The sequence below is a fragment of the Homo sapiens genome, chromosome 2, assembly GCF_000001405.40.
Source record: "Homo sapiens chromosome 2, GRCh38.p14 Primary Assembly".
Lineage (NCBI taxonomy): Eukaryota > Metazoa > Chordata > Mammalia > Primates > Hominidae > Homo > Homo sapiens.
Genome location: NC_000002.12, coordinates 15,223,738 through 15,242,785, shown reverse-complemented (window position 1 = coordinate 15,242,785; position 19,048 = coordinate 15,223,738). Strand labels below are relative to the sequence as shown.

The 19,048-nt window shown below is 37.1% G+C and overlaps 1 protein-coding gene across 11 annotated transcripts in view; it reads left to right on the top strand.

Moving 5' to 3' along the window:
- Window positions 1–19,048, top strand: part of NBAS (NBAS subunit of NRZ tethering complex) — a 782,426-nt gene that overhangs the window by 318,549 nt on the left and 444,829 nt on the right. For all 11 annotated transcript variants that reach the window (XR_007076390.1, NR_052013.3, XM_017004317.2 and 8 more), the window contains 3 exons: window positions 4,100–4,318; window positions 8,039–8,241; window positions 10,275–10,364. Coding sequence is in view for 9 of the 11 variants with exons in the window: in XM_017004317.2 (XP_016859806.1) it covers window positions 4,100–4,318; window positions 8,039–8,241; window positions 10,275–10,364 (512 nt within the window). In the remaining 2 variants the exon portion in view is untranslated. The remainder of the gene's footprint in view (window positions 1–4,099; window positions 4,319–8,038; window positions 8,242–10,274; window positions 10,365–19,048) is intronic.

Genomic DNA, 19,048 nt, shown 5'->3' with positions numbered 1-19,048 from the left:
CAGTTAAAAATATCATCTTGGTTTGATATTATAGTAATGATATACATGAATGACATGTTAATGCTGTGGGCTTAAGAAAAGAATGTTAAGAATAATGGTACCGTGGGGCCACTAGATACAGTAAAGAAATTGCCATTTTTTTTACTCTGGTACATTTTTTTTTAATCATTTCTTTCTTTTACTTCTGTTCCTTCCATTATGGAACAGTTTAAAGAAAATAAATCTACTAGATGTAAATTCAGTGTTAAACATATATTTTTTAACCATACCCTGGAGTCTTTCAGCAATGAACCTGTTTTTACAAAGTATAGTAATAAAAAGCTTGAATTAAGTAAAACGCCTAGTCAAATAAAACACCTTACATATTTTTAATCATAATATCATTCTGCTTCTTAGAGGTTCTAGCTGGCTCAGGAAAATTAACTTAGGATTGCATTTATTTACACTCTGCCTTGTTCAGTGTCAGGTTACATAGTTATTTTGAAATATTTAGTTCTCTTGAAGGATTATTTTAAATAGAAAATTTTCTAATGACACTGTAGTGATGAAGTCAAACAATTTAAACTCTTGAAAAAGTTACACCTGTCTCTCATAACCTACAGCTAGTTTTCTGAAAGCATAGACTTCAGTGTGAGGGCTAGACTCAGTAATGCTGACGAGACAGTTTATACATACAAAGTAGGTGGGTTATGCACTTGGATGTTGGAGCAGAGGACTTGCCAGTGGAATGCTTGTAGAGGCTAGATTGACTCCAAGTGTCTCGATAATGAAACATGACTGGGAATTTGCCTTGCAAAAAAGAGGGAAAGGAGCATTTCCTTGAGACAAGACGGCAAGTAAAAGCACCAGGTAATGACAAAGAGTCAGTGTGGCTGTAGCTTAGGGTTCGAGTTACAATTATACCACGAAGCCAGAGACTTAGCTAGGGACCAGTTTGTGAAGGTTCTTGAGTTCCGTGCTGAGAAATTTGGGGAGCTTATTTAAAAAAAAGGTTTTTCTAAAAGGGAAACATGTGACAAATTTATTAGGAAGATGACAAACCAACGGGAGAGGATGGCACATGTATTTTATCCATTGGTCAAATTAAATGTCAGCATCTGTTTACTGAGCACTTACTATGGGCAAGGCACTGTGCTGACTGTTTTACATATTGTCTTAAGTTCTTAAAGTTGTGCAGCAGGGGTCATTTTTTTTCATTTTGTAGATGAAGAAACTAAAGCTTGAAGCACTTTGTCAAGTTTCCTAAAGTCACACCAGTAGTAAATATTAAACACAACTTTTCTGAATGTATTGTTCTTCCTGCTTACCATATATTCATTCCATGGTTGGTTGACAAAGGCGAGTCAAGACTTGGACAACAATGATCTCATCTGGACCTCTTTAAGAGAATAGGGACCCATTGTTTCATCCAGGACCCTACTTCCTGCCCATGTGAATTAGCTGCCTATCCCTATTCTGTAGCCAGTCTGTTTTTGAAACTCTTCCATATCACACAATAGGCTAGGAAGAGTGTATACATTTGGCTAGCTGATATAGCCAAGTAATTTCTGAAATTTATATTTCTTGGGGAAACAAATATGAATATAATAAAAGATTCACTCTGCTATAAACTCTTATTCAGTCTTGATTTTGTCATTCAGCATTCAACCAGCATGCACTCTCTAATAAACTTGGAGCCTGTGAAGATGCAGAAATCGTTGAGTGGAAGCTGTGTAATGTAAGGTGGCAGGGAGCACTGCACTTGGTAACCAAGTGTTCTGGATTCCAGTTTTTACTCTTCTCTTGTACACGATGACCCCTAACATGCCACTGAGCCTCCTGGAGCTCAGTCTCTTCATCTACATGTATGAAGGGAGGGGTGGTCTGTTGAACAAAACACAGATCTAGTATTTTGTACTTCTGAATCACAGGGAGGAGTTAACAGTTTATTTGTGGGCAAACACAGTAACATAATTAATACTTGTCAGTCAATGGTGGGCTCTGATTTTTTTAATGGCTTAGAGCCAGAAATCTGGTAAGAAGTGGGGACTACGGAACTTGTTTGAAAGCTGCATTTGCAGTGCATTTCCAATTTCATTGGAAATAGTACTTTCCTAAAGATCTCTTTTATCAATATTTATATAGGATTAGGAAAATGTCCCCTGTCAGCATTTTTTTTGTTTGTTTTTTGAGACGGAGTCTCACTTTGTCTCCCAGTCTGGAGTGCAGCGGTGCGATCTCGGCTCACTGCAGCCTCCGCCTGCCGGGTTCACGCCATTCTCCTGCCGCAGCCTCCTGAGTAGCTGGGACTACAGGCGCCCGCCACCACGCCCGGCTAATTTTTTTTTTTTTTTTTTTTTGTATTTTTAGTAGAGACGGGGTTTCACCATGTTAGCCCGGATTGTCTCGATCACCTGACCTCGTGATCCATCCATCTTGGCCTCCCAAAGTCCTGGGATGACAGGCGTCCTGTCAGCATTTTAAAGTCATAACTCTGTTGAGTGACTTGGAGGGAGCTAGTAGGAAAGGAAGGGTCTGGGGGCAGCTTACCTCCTGGTGTGGTCACTCATGCCATGTATTTCAGCCTAGTCCTGCTTTTCAGAATGACCAGACATGTACAATGACTGCTTTTAGGAAGTAGAAAAAAAATGAGAGTCTGTCGTAGGAGTCTTTATCTCTTTTTATTAAAACAAAAAAATCAACACGTCCTTTTGAGGATATAGTAAAAATGTACTTGAGTAGCTGACAGAAGACTACAGCCCAGGATCCAAAGCAGCACAAATCAGTGAGGCCTGAGAAGGCGCTAGGATCTCTCAGAGGCGTCTGCTTCCTCCATCAACAAAGCACAAAGTTTAGACTTAGTTTTGTATTCTTGAGGCTAAGAGCTTAATATTTTAATATTAGAAAAATATAACTCCTGCACATTCTTGAGGATAGTATTTTATTAATTAGAAAAATATAACTCCCATATATCTAACACAGTATACAGGAATCTGATGCGTGTCACTGAATAAATGGGTGAAAACGATGTTTCGAATCTTTGGAAAGAAGGAAAGAAAAAAAAATAGCTCATAATCCTAACACCTTAATAATATATATATATGTATATGCATATGTCTGAATACATATTTCTTATATTTTTATACATACATATACTTTATATGCATGTACAGGTTGAATTTCCTGAATCTAGGAATCTGAAATGCTCCAATATCTGAAACTTTTTTAGTGCCAACATGATGCTCAAAGGAAATGCTTATTGGAGCATTTTGGATTTCAGCCTTTTGAATTAGGGATGCTAAATTAGCAAGTATTCCAAAATCCAAAAAAAATCTGAAATCTAAAATACTTCTGGTTCCAAACATTTCAGATAAGCAATACTCAACATATATATATATATATATACACACACACACACGCACACATACACACACACATAAAATAGAAAATATATAAATGCACACATACACACACACATAAAATAGAAAATACATAAAATACATATATTGTATATGCAGATATAGTTTGAAGTTTAATGTAAACATTATCTAGAGAGTTTTATATTCTGATTTCTAAGTTTTAACATTCTATGACAAACATATTCCAAAATGTTTGGATACTGTTTTTATAATTCTAATTTTAATGACTACATAATATTCCAGCCTGTAATTTAAAATAAGCTAGTTATCATTTCTTCTATCAATTAGATTACTTTTGAGGTTATATTAATAGTCTTATTCCAGTTAAAATCTTTATGCCTGTATTTATTTTCTTCTTTGGAATTTTTTTCTTATAATAAGTGATCAGAACTGGGAATATGGCTGTAGAAATGACTCCTCATTTTTGCACTGTAACTGGCAGTCAGTGTGAATACTAGTTTCATCACTTTACCTGCTTTGGATATTAACATTTTTAAAAATCTTAATTACTAGTTTAATGATGCAAATGGCACCTCACTTTTTGTTTTCTTCACAGAAGAAAAACTAGTATAACAAGTGCTATTTATTGGTTAAAATCATATATACAAAAATTTCACTTTTGTTCTAACTCATTAACACTTGCTGAATATGCAATAGGTAATAATGCAGGGTTCTTTGGTCTCACTATTCTTTTTTTTAAGCTGTCTGTGGAAGCCCGTAAAGAGATGACTAGAAAGGCTATTAAGACAGTCAAACATTTTATTGAGAAGCCAAGGAAAAGAAACTCAGAAGACGAAGCTCAAGAAGCTAAGGATTCTAAAGTTACCTATGCAGATACTTTGAATCATCTGGAGAAATCACTTGCCCACCTGGAAACCCTGAGCCACAGCTTCATCCTTTCTCTGAAGAATAGTGAGCAGGTAAAGAAATGGGAACTTCTATATGCTCACTCTGTATCAGTATATTCTTTCTTTTTTCCTTGAAAGTTACATTAGTCGTTTTGACAGGGTTTTCAGGCTTGCAGATATCCTTGAAAATTGTCCGCAAGCCTTTATTGGTTAACCTCTTCATGATCACTTGATTGACAATTCAGTTTCCACTTCTTTCAAAATGATGTTAAGCCACTTGGCACCGTTGATATGGGGAAATAGAGGAAGTGGGTGAGAAGGGTGGAAATGGAGATGGTAGCAGGAGTTGAACAATGGATAGCTGCCTGGGGTGAGGGGAGAGGTCTCTAAAATGAAGAAATGAGAAGACAGTGGTGCTCAGACTTTACTTCTAGCTGGTAGAATTAACAAATAAAAATAAAAATAGGCTGGGCGCGGTGGCTCACTCCTGTAATCCCAGCACTTAGGGAGGCCAAGGCAGGCAGATCACAAGGTCAGGAGTTCGAGACCAGTCTGACCAACATGGTGAAACCCCGTCTCTACTAAAAATACAAAAAAATTAGCCAGGCCCAATGGCGGGCGCCTGTAGTCCCAGCTACTCAGGAGGCTGAGGCAGGGGAATGGCTTGAACCCGGGAGGCGGAGTTTGCAGTGAGCTGAGATCACGCCCCTGCACTCCAGCCTGGGCGACAGAGCGAGACTCCGTCTCAAAAAAAAAAAAAAAAAAAAATACAAACATTAGCCGGGTGTGGTGGCACAACACCTGTAATCCCAGCTACTCAGGAGGCTGAGGTAGGTGAATCGCTTGATCCTGGGAGGCGGAGGTTGCGGTGAGCTGAGATTGCTCCACTGCACCCCAGCCTGGGCGACAGAGCGAGACTCTGTCTCAGATAAATAAATAAATAAATAAATAAATAAATAAATAAATAAATAAATAAATATTTTGATTTTCTTTTCCCTCCTAATTTTCAGAAAAAAAATCAGAAATAGCCTTTTATGTCTACACTGTATTTTTGTTAAACGTATACCCTTATCCTGTTTTTATGTTGCATGTTTCCAACATAAAATATAATTTCATTATTGAGAGGAATTTTTTGACTACTAAAATTGTTTCTAGGTGGTTTCTAGTTCCTTGGTGTCTCAAAAACAACATCATGAAGTTTGGGGTTCCCTACCTGTGATGAGGTTTGAAAACGCAGGTGTTAGGACTATACAATGAAACCAGAAGCTCTCTAAGGCCCTTAGAGATTTTGTTCTATATTTTAACAATTGTGGGAGTTGAGATAATTTTTTCTATAACTGGAAAGTTGACAAATCAATAAATAAATGATTTCCATGTAAGTGAAAACAGTGCTTATATATATGAATAATATTCCATTTGCCCTATAATACTATGGTAAATGAACCTTGTAAGTGGCCGTTAACCTCCTCTTTTATTTTTCTTAAACCTTACACATTTATTGAATTGTATTCTTGCCTTGTAGAATGGCTAGAAAGATCAGTCAGTGGAGACTTCAGGTAATGAGCAAATGGGAGACTTCAAAATTTGTACAAGACATAAATGCAAAGCCCCCATTGAAAAGATAATGGGAAGAACTTAAAATTTTGAAAGAAATTTTATTCATTTTGTGTTTTGGAATGCCTATTTTTCTGTCTAATGAATAATGTTAAATAATGGTATGAACAATATAGAAGGCTTTGCAGGAAACAAATTGGCTTTACCAATCTTGATTTTATCCTACTAACATTTACAGTACTACAGTTCATAATTAGGAGAAGTAGAGTAAAATTACAATCTTCAAGGAAAAGTGATCTATACTTATAAATTTTTAAGTACTTATTTTTAAATAAACACATCTAAAATTATTTTAAACTTATATTATTTTTTAATATACTATATTAAAACCCAGAGAATTGTCATTACTCTCTGTGGAACAAGAATTGTCTTTTTTTTTTTTTTTTTTTTTTTTTTTTGAGACAGGGTCTCACTCTGTTGCCCAGGCTCACTCACTGCAGCCTCTACCTCCTGGGCTCAAGCAATCCTCCCACCTCAGCCTCTTGAGTAGCTGGGACTACAGGTGTGTGCCACCACACCCAACTAATTTTTTGTATTTTTTGTAGGGACAGAGTTTCGCCATGTTGCCCAGGCTGGTCTCAAAGTCCTGGGCTCAAGCTACTCGCCCACCTTGGCCTTCCAGGTCTGAGCCACTTCACCCAGCCACAAGTATTGTCTTCCAATACCTAGAATAGTTTATGGGGGGATTCAAGGGGATTATTGATAAAAAACATGTTTGTTTCATCTAAGATATGATGCAAAGGTACCATATAGCTACTTGTGAGTACCGTTCAGTCAGACTATGGATGGCCCATAATAGGAAACTCTTGAGGTTCCTAAATTAGACATTATTTAATTTTATTAAGGCACCTTATATAGCAAAAGCTGGAAATAACCTTCAACCCCATGCATTTATCCCTTTTATAGTTCAGACCTTCATTTTAACATCCTTAATTATATACCCAGTACAAAAAAACTTATATCCTCATGAAGCTTCATTTAATCAAAGTTGAAGGCTTTCATCCTACAGAGCCTCAGTTCCCTCTTCTCTTAGGTGAGGATACTAGAAATTGCCCTGCTTAACTCATAGGGATTTTTCTGAAATAGAGAATTTCACAATGGGCAGAACAGTGAAATGAAACTTCATGTGCCCAACTCCCAGCTTCAACAACTGTCAGAACGTGCCCAATCTTCATGCATACCGCTGCCTTCCCTCACCTTGCTCTTGTGGATTGTGAAGCAAATCTCAGTCATCTTTTCATTTTATTCATAAATACCTCCCTATCTATCTCTAAAAGATACTTTAAAATAACCACTATAACATGATCACTAGAAAAAAATTAATAAACATTCTTTAATATCATCAAATATTCAGTTATATTCAGAGTTTTCTCATGGTTGGTTTCAAAGGCAAAACAGTATATTCAGGATTACAAGGGAAACTATAAAGAATCTGGAAACTGTTATTATCATTAAGTGACTGTATTTGGTATGCCAAAAAACAATAGCTTCCCTCTTATTTCTTAAATTATTTGGTATAACATTTGTTTTTACAGATCTTATCAAAGAGAGGCAGGCAGTGTGGCCTAGGGCAGGGGAATAGACTTTTGGGTTCTAATCTTAGCTCTGCTAATTGGTAGCCATGTGACTTTGGTCATGTTACTCAATCTCCTTGGTCTTTAATTTCCTTTTTTATAACATGCAGCTAATTTAAAAATACTTGCCGGGTTATTACAAGTATTAATTTAGATACCATATGTATAATACCTGGGATTACATAGTTATAGCTCAATAGATTATTATGTGGTCGTAGTGCGTTAGTAATAATAGAAAAGCTCATACTTATCGAGCATTACTTTATTCCCGAAGTGCTAAAGAACTGACCATTATATTATCTCAGTTAATGTTCACAACACCCTCTATTCACACGACCCTATTTTCCTCAACCTCATTTTGCAGATATTGAAATTTGAGATCACAAAGGCCCACTAACTAATAAATGGTAAAGCCAGAATTTGCACTCAAATGTGGGTGATCCTTGAGCCTAAGCTCTTAATAACTAACTAATACATGCCCTTTGGTATGGTGTTGCTGCTTTTCATGTATTTGGTTCGAGGATCTAAATATGTTTCACTTTGTGCATGTAGATACATTTAATTTCTATTTGATACTTAAGTGCTGATTACCATGTCTTTACAGGAAACACTGCAAAAATACAGTCACCTCTATGATCTGTCCCGATCAGAAAAAGAGAAACTTCATGATGAAGCTGTGGCTATTTGTTTAGATGGTCAGCCTCTAGCAATGATTCAGCAGCTGCTAGAGGTGGCAGTTGGCCCTCTTGACATCTCACCCAAGGATATAGTGCAGAGTGCAATCATGAAAATAATTTCTGCATTGAGGTAAGCTAGAAAGTGGTCATTGTGGAAAAACTGGGGTGACACTTTGTCAGTGATGGTGCTAAACTGTCATCCTGTATGTAAAAGCATTTTATAAGTTTTGAAGGACTTTACAAAAGTGAGAGATTATTTTTAGAGTTCTCATAGTCTTATGTCTTCAGAAGGGAGACCATGAAAATGTTTCATTGTTGGTATTGTGTATAACATCTTAAGCTATGTAATTTCTGGTTGGACCCCCTTTTACAATCTTTTCTTGAAATAAGGGAAAGGCCAAAATGGCATTTGACACAGGTAAGTAAGTTTCAGACTCTCCTGTGACTTCAATATGGTTTTTCAGATCTTACCATTTCTAATTCCCATTCTTTGTAGTAGTGGGAAAATGGTTCCCAGAAGGTTGTTTTGAAAAACCCAAGGCAAGGCTGATCATACACTGATGAAGTTAGACATCTGTAAAGTGTCTTTAGACATTATTTACCTGCAATTAATGGCATAAAACCGACAATTGAGAAATTCTTGCTTTGCGTCGATATGTGGGTGCCTTTGTAGGAATGCATCCAAGAGGATTAGAAAAGAGGCAGAAGTGACGCTCAGGAAATAATGAGGCATCAAGGACTTTCTGTGAATAATACAATTAGGCTAAAAGATTTAGTTATGTTTAATTTATTCTCCTTTTAAGCATTCTTTTTAATTCTGTATTGCTCTTGAGGAACTTTTTGATTAAATGCATGTCAGTTTTCTGCAGCTGAACTGAAATCAAATGAGCCTTTATCAGTTTAATTACCCCAGCCTCATACAGTTTTTACCTTAATGCTCTGAGGTATCCATTAATTTTATATATAGGGAGATATATAGAATTTCATAACTTTTTCTAAAAAAGAACAAATTTCAAATTAATAAAGCTTTGTTTTATTGTTTGCTTATTAGGATTTTTTGATGTTGATTATATGAACCAGTGTCCTCTTTCAAATGATGACAGATATTTGTTGGCCATATTTCATACCTTTTGGTTTATGGTTATCTTTTTATTATTTCTTAAACCAAGTTTTAGATGAAGCTCACAAAAATATGCATTTTGAAAAATTAGTGTTTTGATTAATTTAGTTTATTTCTTAAAAATTGCCCATTTTCATGAATAATTAAAATACGATGGAATAGTTTTTACACTTATAAATTTTTGACATAAATTATACTTATCTTTTTCTGCATCCAATTCTACCACTAAAGATTTGGTTCTGATCCAATAAATGGTATACTTGGCACACAGAAGACATTCAATAAATGTGAATTAAATCTTCCAGCAATGGAAGGAAAAGGGAACTTAAGGAATTCAGCTACTTCTGTTTCTAAGGAAAATAAATTTTTATTGACAGTGTTCATAACATTTACCTTTTAGGAAGTTAATAAAATGTAGTAGGCACGAAATAACAAAGACATGAAAGGAACCGAATCTGGCAGTTGATTTATATCATTAAATTATTCGAAAAACTCATCGAAAATATTTTTTTTCTCTGTTGCATTTTCAGAATTCACTAGAGTTCTACACATAACATCTGTAAAATGGGCATAATAATAGTACTTGTCTCATAGGATGTTGCATTTAATAGTAGCAGAATATATGTGAACTGTTTAGCATTGCCTGGTACTTATTAGTAGCAAGTAAATATTAGTGCTTTTAAAAAAAAAAAAAAACTTCAACTGGAGGATTTAAATCATTATTACATTTAATGCTTAAAGTAGCTCAATACAGTTAATGTTCAACGAATGTTTTTCGAATGACACAGCGCAAGTAGAATGTGTTATTCTCTTGATAGGAAAACATGTGTATATTAGACTGAGCTCCTTAAGGGCAGAAAATGTTTCATTAGCACCTAGTGTAGGGCTTCGTACATTTGTAGACATCACATAGCACAAATGACTATGGGCAGGCAGTATACTGTGCCAAAATCCAGCCAGGTTCATTTAAGGGTGTGAATACCAAGTTTATTTCTGAGACTTGAGTGATCCTTTTCTGAATCAGTTTATCTCTCTTTTCACAGTGGTGGCAGTGCTGACCTTGGTGGGCCAAGGGACCCACTGAAGGTCCTGGAAGGTGTTGTTGCAGCAGTCCACGCCAGTGTGGACAAGGGGTAAGACTAGAACAGTATGTGCATCTTCATTAACTGGCTTTCCTCAGAGTATTAGAATTGCTCTTAGTATCCGTATGTATGAGGCTTCCAAGACTAAGCCACATTTTTAGGTGGGAAAGGAGCGGCTCTGCACTTGGAGACATGGTATTCTTAGCTCTGTGCTGACCCCACCAGCTCCAGGTCCTGCTTGCCATGGAGAGCATTGTTTTCTCTTGCCTCCTTGAAAGCCATTAGAAATAATAATCATCATGATCATTCTGTCAGGGCAGAAACTGCTCTGAGCTTCCTACAAGATAGGGGATTCTCATTTCCAACACATTAACTGTATTGATTAAGTGTGGAAATTCCCAGGGTGAGTATATATGCTCTTTAAAATAAAAACAAAAAAACTTTGTATAAATTAAAGTCAGCTTTGTTTTAGGACTCAAAGTGTACAGGCTTTATAAGCCTAGAAAGATGTGTATCTCCGATGCTATTTTTAGAAAGAATTTTTCATTCAGGTACAATGATACTGATAAGAAAAAGAGCAACCACAAATGAACAGTTATGCATGTCCTCGAAATTCATAAAAGTCTTTACAATGCCTAATATCCATGTCAGCCATGTAAGTCCTCTCCCCAATTTTCTTTCTTTAATTGAAAATATGATAGAATATAATGAAGATGGGTTTGAGAAAACTCCCCATAATTCCATTTGGTAATATAATTATTTTTATTTGCATGTTACCTACCAGTTATTGTTCAGGTGCAGATATCTTTTTATATAGTTTCAATTTAAATGTATAAACTTTTGTATTCTCTTATCTACTTGCTATTGTAAGACTTTCCATTGATCTTTGTAGATTTAATGATTATTGTGATTATTATTTCTAACGGCTGTATATGTTGTTGCCATTTTCAGAGGAGGACCTAAAAGCTCAGAGAGAGGAGTTGACTTGCCCAGAGTCATACAGCTGGGAAATAGAACCAGGATTCCACCCTGGCTCTAAATGATAATGTAGTACTCAGATGCCGATGCCTTCATAGTCTATTTCCCTGCATGGCTTTGTGCACAAGGTTTGAGTGACAGAATATAGAATGAGCTATGTAGGTGAAGGTGGAAAAACATTGCAAGCAGGGGTTTCTACTTCCCGTGCTTTTTACCTTGCACAGTGTTTCTAAACCCCTTTGCTTATGGTTCTTCAGATAGGAAAGTCGCTGTAGCAGTGGCTAATTTAGGCCCCCGATTTTAAAAAGAAATTAATGATTCATGGGGTTTACTCTGTGCCATGCTCTGTGTGAAGTCACAAAGGAGTCATATGGATAAGAAACAACCTCTAACCCCAAGGAGCTCACAGTCTTGCGCGGGAGACGATCTGGCCTGTAGCCATAGTCACTGTGCTATAGAATGGGAAGCGCTGTACAGAAGGCAGAGTGGAGGGAGTAGTTAGGGCAGGATACACAAGGGGTGACACAGAGCTGGTCAGTGAAAGAACAGTCTGTTTGGAGGAGATAGATGATGGTAATTCCAGGCTGAGGAAGCTGCCTGAGCAACTCCACATGCAGCAGGTAGCAGAGCAGGCAGAGATGCTACGTGGGAAACACTTACCCTCCTTCCAGGGCCCATCTCACTACTGCCATCTCACTCCCAGCTTGTCAGTGAGTTCTCAGCCATCAGCTCCCAGGGAGCTGCCATCCGCAGCGCAGCTTCTTTCAGGCTAGGCTGACTCTGGATCCTGGTCTCCCAAGATGAAAGGGTCTCAACAGGTACTGTTTTAGTCCCCTTTCAATGGGGCTTCTTAGTCTTGTCCCACTGGGGCATCTCAAGAATATTAAAAGGCAGTATTTCATCTTAGTGAATTTCTAGCCACGTTTACAGAAGAATCCAATTTGAGACTTACTCTAATACAGACTGTTTTTTAAGGTTTGAAGAAGACATTAGGGAGTGGAGAAACAGAACAAGATCTTACTTTTTATTCTAGAGACACAGAATAACAAAGCCTTCTTAACAAAAGAAACTTCAGAGAACTTTTTTTTTTTTTTTTTTTTTGCCTAAAAAATAAAAAGAAGAAAAACAAAGCCATAACTTTTATTTTGGCAAGTATTTTTTGAATCTGCACAGTTAAACCTGACACCCTTTGTTTGGGTTTCCCTTCCCAATAATGCACCTGGCAGAATCATCTAGGGGAGACAGTTTGTGTTTTCCAGGTAGTTCTAAGGAGGGTCTTTGCAGTGATATGGTTATTGTGGATTTTGAAAGTAATGCTGTCAAGTTATTCATTCCTTGGCATGACATGACAGCCTAACCTCTAGGAGCCCGTGCCAGGCCTTATGTGCCCCTCACCCTTTCTCTTGTTGACATACCAAGCCTCCCTCAGTCCCAAACTCATAACCTGGACACCCACTACCCTCCATAGTGTCTGTTTTGACAATAACCTCACTCATATACATCTTCAGATGTCACACACAAAAGCACATTACATGCTTTTGGGTTATGTATATACTATCCCACAATATTCCTGGCAGGGAGACTGCATAAAAAAGTAAGAATTTGAGTGCATGTGTTGACAGCCACCACCAAATATGTGGTTTTGTGGTTAATTTTTAAGCAATTTATGCCATTTTTCACGTCCTCTTTTTTTTTCTTTTCTTTTTTTTTTTTACGTGGAGTTTGCTCTTGTTGGCCAGGCTGGAAGTACAATGGCGCAGTCTCGGCTCACTGCAACCTCCACCTCCCTGGTTCAAACAATTCTCCTGCCTCAGCCTCCCGAGTAGCTGGAATTACAATTGCCTGCCACCATGTCCAGCTAATTTTTGTATTCTTAGTAGAGATGGGGTTTTGCCATGTTGGTCAGTCTGGTCTCAAACTCCTGACCTCAGGTGATCCACCCACGTCGGCCTCCCAAAGTGTTGGGATTACAGGCATGAGCCACTGCGCCAGGCCCACATGTCCTCTTTTATCTTTTTATGTTGATGCAAATATTATTTGCTTCTTTTAAATTTAATTTTTTATATTGTATAATTGACACACAATAATTGTACACGTTTAGGTGGTACAATGTAATGTTCTTTTTTTTTTTTTTTTTTTTTTTTTTTGTTTTTTGAGACAGAGTCTTGCAGTGTCACCCAGGCCAGAATGCAGTGATGGGATCTCGGCTCACTGCAACCTCTGCCCCCGGGTTCAAGTGATTCTCCTGCCTCAGCCTCCCGAGTAGCCGGGATTACAGGTGCCCACTACCATGCCCGGATAATTTTTGTATTTTTAGTAGAGATGGGGTTTCATCATGTTGGCCAGGCTGATCTTGAACTCCTGACTTCAGGTGATCCACCCTCCTTGGCCTCACAAAGTGCTGGGATTACAGGCATGAGCCACAACGCCCAACCTGTAATGTTTCAATGAATGAATGATAAAATTGGTATAATTACCATATCCATCATTTTAAACATGTATCATTTCTTTGTGGTGACAACATTCAAATTCTTCTAGCGATCTTGAAATATACAATACATGGGTATTTGCTCTAATTCATCCTACTATATAAATAAGACACCAAAACTTATTCTTCCTGCCCAACTGTAACTTTGTGCCTATTGACCGTCCTCTCCTAGTACACCACACTCTGCTCCCCAACTCCCAGCAACCACCAATCTACTCTCACTTCCATGAAATCTTTTAGATTCCACATATGAGTGAGATCGTGTGGTATTTGTCTCTGTGCCTGGCTCATCTCACTTAACATAATGTCCTCCAGGTTCATCCATGTTACTGCAAATGACAGGATTTCACTGTTTTGTGGCTGAATGGTATTTATATGTACCACATTTTCTTCACCCATTAATCTTTAGATGGGCATTTAGGTTGATTCTGTATCTTGGCTATTATGAATAGTACTGCAATAAACATGGGTGTGCAGAAGTTTCTTCAACATACTGATGTTATTCCCTTTGGATGTATACTCAGTAACGGGATTGCTGCATCAAATGGTAGTCCTATTTTCAATTTTTAGGGGAACCTCCATTCTGTTTTCCCTAACAGCGACTAATTTATGTTCCCACCAACAGTGTATAAGGGTCCACTTTTCTCTGCACCCTGGCCAGCATTAGTTATTTTTTTTCTTAACTCGGGGAAAATGAAAACTCACTGTCATTTTGATTGCATTTCCCTGATGATTAGTGATGTCGAGCATTTTTTTTCATATATTTATTGGGTATTTGCATGTCTTCTTTTGAGAAATGTCACTTCAGGTCTATTTCACTTCAGGTCACTATTGCTCCTTTTAAGTCAGATTATTTATATTTTTGCTATTGAGTTGTTTGAGTTCCTTGTATATCCTGAATATTAACGCCTTATCTGATGTATAGTTTACAAATAGTTTCTCCAATTCTGTAGGCTGTCTCTTCACTTTATTGATTGTTTCCTTTGACATAACAGAGCTTTTTAGTTTGATGTAATTCCATCTGTCTGTTTCTGCTTTTGTTGCCTGAGCTTTTGGGGTCTTATTCAAAATATCTTTTCTCAGTCCAATTTTATAATACTTTTGTCTTGTGTTTTCTTCTACTAGTTTCATATTTTTGGGTTTTACATTTAAGTCTTTAATTCATTTATAGTTGATATTTGTAATATATGGTGAGAGATAGAAGTCCAGTTTCATTCTTTTTCGTGTGGTTATCTAATTTTCTCAGCACCATTTATTGAAGAGACTGTACTTTTCCCAGTGTGTGTTCTTGGAGCCTTTGTCAAAAATCAGTTGCTGTAAATGCATGGATTAATTTTGGGGTTCTCTATTATGTTCCATTTGTATATGTATCTGTTTTTATGCCACTACCATGCTGTTTGGGTTACCATAGCTTTGTTGTATATTTTGAGGTCAAGCAGTGTGATGCCTCCAGCTGTGTTTGTTTTAGGTATCCAGGGTCTTTTGCCTTTCCATATGAATTTTAAGATTTTTTTTTTCTGTTTCTGTGTAGAGTGCCATTGATATTTTGATAGGGATTGCATTGAATCTGTAAATCACTTTGGGTATTATGGATGTTTTAACAGTATTCTTCTAATCCATGAACATGGAATATCGTTCCATTTATTTGTGTCCTCTTCCATTTTTTCATCAGTGTTTTATAGTTTTCATTGTAGAGGTCTTTTACCTCCTTGGTTAAGTATATTATTAGGTATTTTTTTCACAGCTGACTTGTAAATGAAATTGCTTTCTTTCTTCTTCAGATTGTTTGCTATTGGCATATAGAAATGCTACTGATTTTTGTATGTTGATTTTATATCTGCAGCTTGACCAAATTCATTAATAGATGCTGAAAAAGCATTCCATAAAATTCAATATTCCTTCATGATAAAACTCAACAAGCTAAATATGGAAGGAACATAATACAGTAAAGGCCATCTGTGTCAAACCCATAGCATCATACTTAATGAGAAAAAATTGAGTTTTTCCTCCAAGGTTTGGAACAAGACAAGGATGCCCATTTTCACCACTTTTATTCAACACATCACACTAGAAGTTCTATTCAGAGCAATAAGACAAGAGAAGGAAGTAAAAGGCATCTAAATGGGAAAGGAGGAAGTCAGATTGTCCACGTTTGCACATAGCATGATCATCTATGTAGAAAATCCTGACGACTCCACAAAAAAAGTGTTAGAATCATTTGCTCTTTCACTGCAGCTCCTGCCTCTCCCAAAAAGCTCTCTTTTCCTCTTCCTTTATCTGTGCTAATTTTGTGTTAAAATTATAACACCTAGACAGGCCACCTGTACAGATGGCTTTCTTTTCAGTTTAACCACGTTCTTGCCTCTAGACATGAGAGTTGAGTGTTTTAAGGATTTTAAATCATGCCAAAGACCTTTCATACATCTACAATTAAAGGTAGGACAAAGGAATTAATTATTTGTGCATATGAAATTTCTTTCATAAAAGAAATCTATAAATGTGTATGCTGTCTCTTATTATTTATGTGTATTTATAACATCATATTTCAAGAAGAAAATATCAATTTCTAGTTCGTGTTAAGAATTTGTTTGCTTAAGAAAAGTAAGTTTTCTTTAAAAAAAATTCAACACTAAGAATGTTCTAAAAGCATATATCTGTCAAACCTGGAATTAAGAAAATACTGCTGTCAAATATTTTAAAAACAAGGAAACAAACAAAAAATCCTAATGAACATCTAATTCCTCTATGCCAAGACTTTGGAAAGGTGCTATTCAGTAACTCCCTTAGTCCTCAGAACAACCTTATCATACAGAAATTGTCATCTGAATTTTACAGATTAGGAAATGAAGCTCAGAGAGGTATGCATTTCTCTCACCATATCACCTCTTTTTGACACTAAGAGCCAGCACAGGAAAGTAAAGCAGTGCTTCTCACACTTAATTCTGCATAGGAATTGCCTGGAGATCTTATTAAAATACAGATTTTGATAGAGTAGGTCTGGGTGGGGTCTGAAATTCTGCATTTCTAACCAGCTCCCAAGTGATACCCAGTCCATGGAAGAACTTTGAGTAGCAAGGTCTTACCTTGTCTCTTTGACATGCTTCTCTCTGCCTTTGCCTTATTTCCCTTTCTACTTCTTGCCTTCATCTAGCTTTAAAAAACTTCCTAACAGGAATGTCCCACAAGCGTGAGCCAGTATATTTGTCATTCTCAAAAGGATTTATAGCATTAAATTCACTCAGATAACAGGTAATTAATGCAGAATTCCTCTGTGCAATATTCAAAAAAAGAAGAAAGATTTACTTCAAAACTATTGAGTTTTTTGGGGGGGTTTGATTGTTTAAATTGCTACTTCACCACAGTCTCAGCTTCAGCTGCCTTAAAGTTTCATATAAATATTGAACAATGTCACATAATTCAGACTTTATTAAACTCTTTGCTGTTATCTAGGGATTGCACATTGTTTTTAAAGTGAAAAGGAGAGGAAAAATAAAAGAGAAGAAAGAACGGCCCACCTAGAGCAAATTGAATCTGATTTTTTTTCCTTCTTCCTGCTCTGTGAGGCAAAGTAGATCATCCAGTGTTCTCTGAGCACCTGCAGTGCATGAGGCCTTATGTTTCGTGAGGTTGAGCCCTCCTGAAAGCTGTCGTCACAATCCAGGATGGTGGATCCACTCTGTTACCGCAATATTTCTGTATCACTTCAGGCCATATTTATGAGTATCCACTCTGCCATGTTACAGCAAGGTGTGTCCACCCTTTCACTGATAAGTGAAGCCCAGGAAGATACTCTGTTTTGTTTTTTAATTATGCCTACAGTTCTCCAAGAACCCAGGAAGATATTCTAGGTTGGCATATATTTGAGAGCAGCCACAAGGAGATTATTTGTATTTATCAGGAGTCAAGCTTTGAGATTGGAATTGTGTGCATACCAACATCCTTACCATTCCAGGCATTTTTCTTTTAATATACCTTGATTATGATTTTCCTAAATTCACCCTTTTTATATTACTACGGTACCATTTACACATTTGTTTATTTGCAGTTCTTATTCCTTGCCAGTTCCCCGATTGTTTCATGGGAGCTGATAAATAGAAGACATTCTCCTGGGAAGTGTCTGCCCCACCCGCTGCATATGTAGTGAGGAAAGTGTGCATAGTATGTGGGTCAGTTCATTAATGGAGGCACGGGACCTACATGGAATGAGTGTTTATGTCCCTCACTGTTAGCTCGCTTGTATATACCCCTCCCTTCCTCCAGTGGCCTTCAGAGGAGGTAGGCAGTGGGAGAGCCTGGGACGAACTAGAAAGCTCACCTAGGCCTTGTCTAAAGGAGGCCCCTGCTGCCTTGGCCCCAGCCTGTTTTTTCCACTATTTTCCTGTCACCCAGTTTTTAAACATGCGGTGGAACATCCTGACTTCATGTATGTGTTGGTGAAATTCCTTAATTTTGAAACATTGGCATCTACTATGCAAGCCAGCCACAAAATCTGGTTGCCAGTTTACTTTCAGTATGGAAGAGACCTAATGTTCCTTCAGGTTTGATTCAAATTCTATGACATTTATATTTACAAGAAATCTCAAATGTGTGTGTTTTGCTTGCTTGAATGTAGTTCTGCTTTCTTGCATTCTCATATAAGAATATTTTATTTTGATTGTATGTGTATGCCATGCAGAACCTGAAAACTCTCTTACTGAAGATTCGCTTATTTATATTCTTAAAAAATCTGTCTTCTTGCTGTGATTCAATAATTTCCTTTCTTTGCTTGACATTTCCCTTCCATTCTTTTGTACTTTTGTGAATGTCTTCCATGCTACATTACATAATAGGGAAATGCCAGATGAACACTCATTCCACCTCAGAGTAACACAGTCTCAAATTAGTCATTCAATGGACATGTTTTGTTGTCATGGTTGCTGCTGCTGTTCTTTTCTGTAAATAGAGCTGTTTATGTATTGCACATGACTTCCTATCTTTCGGACCAAAACTGATTCTGAGTGTGTTTCCTTTATCAGCAAATTTTTAAAAATAGCGTACTAAATTATCATTTGCAGTGTAATATCCCCTCCCCAATCTCATTATAGGGAAAAAGGTGGAAGCAATTCCCTACGTGTTTGTAGTGAAACTATGAGAGATTTTCTTTTTTTATCTATTTTATGACCTTTTTTTTTTTTTATTTGAGATGGAGTCTTGCTCTGTCACCAGGCTGAAGTGCAGTGGTGCGATCTCGGCTCTTTGCAACCTCTGACTCCCTAGTTCAAGCGATTCT